The sequence below is a fragment of the Homo sapiens genome, chromosome 17, assembly GCF_000001405.40.
Source record: "Homo sapiens chromosome 17, GRCh38.p14 Primary Assembly".
NCBI lineage: Eukaryota > Metazoa > Chordata > Mammalia > Primates > Hominidae > Homo > Homo sapiens.
The window spans coordinates 22,198,986-22,206,758 of record NC_000017.11 but is presented as its reverse complement, the minus strand read 5'-3'; the positions used below and the strand labels follow the sequence as shown (position 1 = coordinate 22,206,758).

At 47.0% G+C, this 7,773-nt stretch overlaps 1 pseudogene across 2 annotated transcripts in view; it reads right to left on the bottom strand.

Moving 5' to 3' along the window:
• Positions 1-1,607: 1,607 nt before the first annotated feature.
• UBBP4 (ubiquitin B pseudogene 4) overlaps positions 1,608-7,773 on the bottom strand; it is a 114,402-nt pseudogene continuing 108,236 nt past the window's right edge. The window contains exons 1-2 of one of the 2 annotated variants that reach the window (NR_144546.2): positions 3,374-3,764; positions 1,608-2,672 (exon numbers count right to left, since the gene is read on the bottom strand). The product of NR_144546.2 is annotated as a ubiquitin B pseudogene 4, transcript variant 2 (transcript). Of the gene's footprint in view, positions 2,673-3,373; positions 3,765-7,773 lie in introns of those variants that run through there. The other variant, NR_176224.1, reaches the window with a different exon arrangement.

The following is a 7,773-nucleotide window of genomic DNA, read 5'->3' as shown; positions in this document are numbered from 1 at the left end:
ACCTGAAAAAAAAAATTAAACAGGGCTCCCCACACTACTCCCAATTTTGTGCCAAGATGAGAATCACATTTACTGAAGTTGTATTACAGAAGATAGTGAAGCAGGAAGATTTGAGAACTTCCTTAGTACACCCTTACTCCCTCAAATATTTTCTATTAGCACTGCGCATGTATTACTGCCTAATGTCCATTGGGATAGAAGCCTAAAAACTGCTTATGTTGCCAGACTTAGACAAGGATAAGCATTTTTACCAAATACAGATAAAATCTCATTTGTTGCTGCAGTCTTTCACAATAAAGTTAAGCTGTTAGACATTAAGAAACAACAGCGTGGCCCGGAGTGGTGGCTCATGCCTGTAATCCCAGCACTTTGGGAGGCCAAGGTGGGTGGATCACTTGAGGCCAGGACTTTTGAGACCAGCTTGGTCAATATGGTAAAACCCCATCTCTACTGAAAATACAAAAATTAGCTGGTGGGCCCCTGTAGTCCCAGCTACGTGGGGGGCTGAGGCAGGAGACTTGCTTCAACCTGGGAGGCGGAGTTTGCAGTGAGCTGAGATCGCACCACTGCATTCCAGCCTGGGGCAAAAGAGTGAGACTCTGTCTCAAAAAAAACAAAAACAAAAACAAAAACCAACTGTGTGAGGAACCACTTTAATTTGCCACCTAACTCATCAAGACCAGGAAGATTGTCTTAGATCAGGATACAGTTTTAAACATTAAGTACCTGCAAGCCATCTTTCTCCTCAGCCAGTAGTCTTCCATACTCAGTAATTAGCTGCTTCTTGGCTCATCATTTAAAACATATACAGCAAACAGACAAGATTACGGTCCCATACTACCACCCAGGTTAAACACTTCGGTGTTACTACACTACAGAGCAATAAACACACAGCTCATAGTCACCCAATAATTGCAGAATTGAAAGCAGTTACGTTACCACTATTCAGGCAGCCTCAATCAAAACTATTTCTCCAGCAATCTTTGATTAGGCCTAGGCAGGCATATTTGTAAAGAAAATCCCTGCAGTCACTTGAGCCCAAGAATGATACGGTGAGCTGTCATTGTGCCACTGTATACCAGTCTGGACTACAGAGCAAGACCATCTTTAAAAAAGCCTGCATATCCAACTTTTTGAGATGGAGTCTTGCTCTGTCACCAGGCTGGGGTGCAGTGGCACCATCTCAGCTCATTGCAACCTCTGCCTCCCAGGTTCAACTGATTCTCCTGCCTCAGCCTCCTGAGTAGCTGGGACTACAGGCAGGCGACATCACATCCAGCTAATTTTTTTTAGTAGAGAGAGGATTTCACTATGTTGGCCAGGAGGGTCTTGATCTCTTGACCTCGTGATCCGCCCACCTCGGACTCCCAACAGACTTTAAATTCGAGCTTCAGAAAGTTTGCCATTAGTCCAGGATCCTAACTTGTAATGACTTACAGCAAAGAAGGCTCTTACCCCTCAGCCCACCCAAGTGTATACCAGAGTCAAGTGACTTAACTTTGGGCACATTACCAATCTCAAAATTAAATCCCTCCCTAGACATTTTCACCAGTTTTAAGTGTACCCACACATCACTAGAGAATATCATGACAAAACACCAAGTATGCTACCATTCAACGAAACCTTTATTAACATTTTGAACAGGTTCAGCTATTACTGAAACTTGTAATTTCTAAACCTAAGTTGGGGCAAATGGCTATAGTGCAGAGTAATGCCATCAGTGGGCACTGCTAATGCAAGACTGAAGAATTAACAGCCACCCCTCAGGCGCAGGACCAGGTGCAGGGTCGACTCTTTCTGGATGCTGTAGTCAGAAAGAGTGCGGCCATCTTCCAACTTCTTGCCTGCAAAGATGAGCCTCTGCTGATCGGGGGGGATGCCTTCTTCATCCTGGATCTTGGCTTTCACATTTTCGATGGTGTCACTGGGCTCCACCTCCAGGGTGATGGTCTTTCCAGTCAGGGTCTTCACGAAGATCTTCATACCACCTCTCAGACGCAGGACCAGGTGCAGGGTCGACTCCTTCTGGATGTTGTAGTCAGAAAGAGTACCGCCATCTTCCAGCTGCTTGCCTGCAAAGATGAGCCTCTGCTGATCGGGGGGATGCCTTCTTTATCTTGGATCTTGGCCTTCACATTTTCGATGGTGTCACTGGGCTCCACTTCCAGGGTGATGGTCTTGCCGGTCAGGGTCTTCACGAAGATCTGCATACCACCTCTCAGACGCAGGACCAGATGCAGGGTCGACTCTTTCTGGATGTTGTAGTCAGAAAGACTGCGGCCATCTTCCAGCTGCTTGCCTGCAAAGATGAGCCTCTGCTGGTCGGGGGGGATGCCTTCTTTATCTTGGATCTTGGCCTTCACATTTTCGATGGTGTCACTGGGCTCCACTTCCAGGGTGATGGTCTTGCCGGTCAGGGTCTTCACGAAGATCTGCATACCACCTCTCCGACGCAGGACCAGATGCAGGGTCGACTCTTTCTGGATGTTGTAGTCAGAAAGACTGCGGCCATCTTCCCGCTGCTTGCCTGCAAAGATGAGCCTCTGCTGGTCACAGGGATTGCCTTCTTTATCTTGGATTTTGGCTTTGACATTTTCGATAGTGGCACTGGGCTCCACTTCAAGGGTGATGATCTTGCCGGTAAGGGTTTTCACGAAGATCCGCATTTTGACCTAGATTAAAAGTAAAACATAAGCGTGTCATCTCAGGATCATTGTATTTCTTGCTTTTACATCTAATATGCTTCAAAGTTAGCAACTACTCCTTCAAAATGCCTTAAACATGGTAACATTCCGCAAACCTCCCCTGATTTTTATGAGGCTAAGTCACTTAATACAAAATTCGTCACTCAAGGTTTCAATGTCAACAGTGGAGAATCCAGAGCGCTCTCTAACCAAGCGTCCACAACTTTCTCCACTACCTGTTCTGGATATTCAAACTCCCCTGACCGAACTCCAACCTGCCTCAAACCTAAGCACGGTGTTAGGTAAACTGAAAACAAAACCGAACCCACAAGACTCGCGAAGTAAAAATCCCATTGAAACACAAGAAGGGACACCATTCTCATACTGGGATTCCAAATTTAGGGTTTCCAGAAGCCACACAAACTACCTCTTTTCCGCCTTCCTCCCAAGTAAACGCGACGGAATCGCTGTTGGTTAATGTCTGTTAGTTTCTGTCGGCGCGTGCGCGTGCCAACTGCCCTCGCCCCCCTTAGGTCAACAAGGCCCACTCTCCCAGAAAGGCCGGGTGTCGCGTCACCTCGCCCTCCCCTCCCCTCAGCGGCCCACCCAACCCCAAGAAGCCTCCAGCTTGACCTCACCCATTCCCCCCTCTCACGCCCCCGCAGGTCTTTACGGCTGTGGGCCAGTACCTGTTAGCGGATACGAGGATGCTGCGAATCACGTCCAGCCACAGGAACACCACAACAACCTCACCCAACAAAGCCAGTCGTGCCTGAATGCTCTGGTTTGGCAGAGCGCAAATTTGTGCAAGGTGTGTTGCGTTATCACTTCTTACATAGACACCGTCTCCGTGCGCCACTGAAAGTAGTTCGCCGCGCCCAACATCCCCAGACGCAGTTCAGGCTTTTCAACTGAGCCCCAAATTCCCATAGCGTAAGAAAGGATCCTAACAAATTATGTCCCTTCTCCTCTATGCACTTCTCTTCTTTAGGAAAATATAAGAAAATTATTGGGCGGATGAATTCGAGTTAAAGAAACCTTCCTCGAAAGCTCTGGAAACTTTCTTGCAGCACCAGCACTGATTGGTTAGGCCTGCGAAGGCGAGGTCGGCGCTGATTGGTGGGGGATGCGGTGGCTCTGTTGTTCCTGGGCTCCGCCTTGGGTGGTTTAGCCCAGACTTTGCTAAGTAACTGAGTGTGCGTATGCGGCACAGGCGCGCCTTCCTGAAAGAGGGTATTTCCGGCTAGAAAAAGAGGGGTTTTTTTTCCTTTAAAAAAAATTTTTTTTTTCCTGAGACGGAATTTCGCTCGTTTCCCAGGCTGGAGTGCAATGGCACGATCTCGGCTCACCACAACCTCGCCTCTGGGGTTCAAGCGATTCTCCTGCCTCAGCCTCCCAAGTAGATGGATGGCATTACTGGCATGCGCCACCACGTCTGGCTAATTTTTTGTGTTTTTAGTAGAGACCAGGTTTCACCATTTTGGTCAGGCTGGTCTCGAACTCCTGACCTCAGGTAATCCACCCGCCTCGGCCTCCCAAAGTGCTCCGTCGTGCCTCAGAAGCGGGATGGAGTGGCACCCGATGTTGCAACAGCTGGTGGTGATTCTGAAGCACAATTCCCTCTCCCATGTTTTAAAAAACACGCACCCCTTGTCGGGCACAGGGGCTCAAGCCTGTAATCCCAGCACTTTGGGAGGCCGAGGCGGGTGAATCACGAGGTCAGGGGTTCAAGACCAGCATGGCCAAGATGGTGAAACCCCGTCTCTACTAAAAATACAATAAAGTTAGCTGGGTGTGGTGGCAGGCACCTGTAGTCCTGGGGAGGCTGAGGCAGGAGAATGGCGTGAACCCAGGAGGCGGAGCTTGCAGTGAGCTGAGATTGCGCCACTGCACTCTAGCCTGGGCAACAAGAGCAAAACTCCGTCTCAATAAATCATTCAATCAATCAATAAATAAAGGAAGCAAGATTTAAGGAGACAGGAGAAGTAACTGTGAACAGAGGTACGCACACATGCGAAAGCCAGGCTGAAGCTGCATGTGGTGGTGCACACCTGTAGTTGCAGCTACTTAGGAAGCTGAGGACCACATGAGCCCAGGAGTTTTGAGACTGCAGTGAGCTATGGTGGTGTCATGCATTCCACCCTGGGAGACACAGCGAGACCCCCATGTCAAAAAAAAAAAAAAAATTGGCTGAATTGGAGGCTTTTAATGGGAAGAAGTAATGAAGAGATCAGAAAGGTATGTTGAGGATAGAATGGACGGTCTTGGATATTAGGCTCAGGAATTTGGCCTTTATTTTGTAGGCATTGGGAAGCTGTGACCACCTCTGAACAGGATGAATAAAGCCCGGCCTGATATAGTCTTTTGATTGGTTGCCATCTCCCTCTCTTCTTAACTTCACATTGCTCCATATTACTATCATATTAACTTTCTTCAAACATTCCTGCCATTACCAAATACTGAGTACAAATAATGGCAAATGCTTAATAAATATTTGCCCTTTGCTTTAGGAAAATTAATCATGAAATGATTTGTGAGGTAGACTAGACAAGGAAAAAGAACAGGGAGAAGAAATAAAGATCTCAGAACAAAGGTCTCTGAGAAAAAAAAAAAAAAAAAAACATTGGGAAAAAAAGGCCGAGTGTGGTGGCTTACACCTGTAATCCCAGCACTCTGGGAGGCCAGGACGGGTGGATCACCTGAGGTCAGGAGTTCAAGACCAGCCTGGCCAATATGGTGAAACCCCGTCTCTACTAAAAACACAAAAATTAGCTGGGCGTGGTGTCGGGCACCTGTAATCCCAGCTACTTGGGAGGCTGAGGCAGGAGAATGGCTTGAGCCCAGGAGGCAGAGGTTGCAGTAAGCTGAGATGACACCATTGCACTCCAGCCTGGAAGACAGAGTGGGACTCTGTCTCAAAAATGAAAAACAAACAAACAAAAGAAATATAGATGGCCAGGCCAGGCAAGGGGGCTCACACCTGTAATACAGCACTATGGGAGGCTGAGGCAGGAGGATTGCTTGAGTCCAGGAGTTCAAGACCAGCCTGGGCAATATGTTGAGACCCCCCCCCCCATCTCTAGAGGAAATAATAAAATACAACAAAAATGGCAGTTTCTCAGTTTGCTGTGCTGGGGTTCTCTGTGGCCATTGCTTCTTCAGAATCACTGATGGCCAGGTTCACTCCTCAAGACTGGAAGGAGCGCCCACAAGGATGGGATTTTCAAGGCCAGAACTCCAGGTATTTTTAATTTTTTTTTAAATTTTAAAATTGTACAGGGGCCAAGCACAGTGGCTCACACCTGTAATTCCAGTACTTTGGGAGAACATGGCAAAACCCTGTCTCTACTAAAAATACAAAAAATCAGGCCACGCGCGGTAGCTCACACCTGTAATCCCGGCACTTTGGGAGGCCAAGGCAGGTGGATCACCTGAGGTCAGGAGTCTGAGACCAGCCTGGCCAACATGGCGAAACCCCGTCTCTACTAAAAATACAAACATTAGCCAGGCATGGTGGCATACACTTTTCATCCCAGCTACTAAGGAGGCTGAGGCAAGAGAATTGCTTGAACCTGGGAAGTGGTGGTTGCAGTAAGTCAAGATTGTGTGCCATTGCAATCCAGCCTGGGTGACAGCAAGACTCCTTCTCAAAAAATAAATAAATTAAATAAATAAATAAATAAATAAATAAATAAATAAATAAATAAATTAGCTGGGTGTGTTGTTGCTCACCTGTAGTCCCAGTTACTCAGGAGGCTGAGGTGGCAGGATCACCTGAGCCAGGGAAGTTGAGGCTGCAGTGAGCTGTGATTGCACCATTGCACTACAGCCTGGGCGACAGAGCGAGACTCCATCTTAAAAAAAAAATTTTTTTAGAGATATGTGATCACAGCTCACTGTAATCTTGAACTCCTTACTTCAAGCAATCCTACCACCGCCTACAGGTATGTACCACCACACCTGGCTAATTTTTAAAAATTTTTTGTAGAGATGGGGTCATGCTCTGTTGCCCAGGCTGGTCTCAAACTCCTGGCCTCAAGTGAGCCTCCTGCCTTGGCCTCCCTAAGTGCTGGAATTATAGGTGGGAGCCACTGCACCCGGTTGCATTTTTTTATTTAACTACATCTTGATCTTTTCATATCAATATACATATCCTCATTATTAACTGTTATGTAGAATAGCATAGTGTGGGCATAGTTTATTTAGCTATTCTTTTTTTCATGGAAATGATGATTGTTTCCAGTTTTTTTGCTATTACCAAGAGTGTTGACAGTGAACATTCTTGTACATACCTCTTTAAACATACATATGTGTATTATTTGAGAATAGAGAAGTGGGGTTGCTGAGCTGAAACATATGCATTTTTTTTTTGAGATGGAGTTTCGCTCTTGTTGCCCAGGCTGGAGTGCAATGGCATGACTTGGCTCACTGAAACCTCTGCCTCCCTAGTTCAACCAATGATTCTCCAGCCTCAGCCTCCCAAGTAGCTGGGATTACAGGCACCCGCCACCACGCCCAGCTAATTTTTTTGTATTTTTGGTAGAGACAGGGTTTCACTATGTTGGCCAGGCTGTTCTCCAACTCCTGAACTCATGATCCACCCACCTCGGCCTCTCAAAGTGCTGGGATTACAGGCGTGAGCCACCACGCCTGGCCGAGTTTTAATTTTTGATGGAGTCAAATTTATTAGTCTTTTTTTTTTTTTTGTCTTAATGGCTCTCTGATTTGGGTTTTCTGGGTTTTTTTTCTTTTCTTTTTTTTTTTTTTTGAGATGGAGTCTGGCTCTGATGCCCAGGCTGGAGTGCAATGGCATGCTCTCGGCTCATTGCAACCTCCACCTCCCGGGTTCAAGCCATTCTCCTGCCTCAGCCTCCTGAGTAGCTGGGATTAAAGGCGTGGCCACCATGCCGGGCTAATTTTTGTATTTTAGTAGAGACAGGTTTTCACCATGTTGGCCAGGCTGGTCTTAAATTCCTGACCTCAGGTGATCCATCAGCCTCAGGCCTCCCAAAGTGCTGGGATTACAGGTGTGAGCCACCGCATCTGGCTGTGATTTATTTCTTGTTCAAGAATATCTTTCTGGGACTAG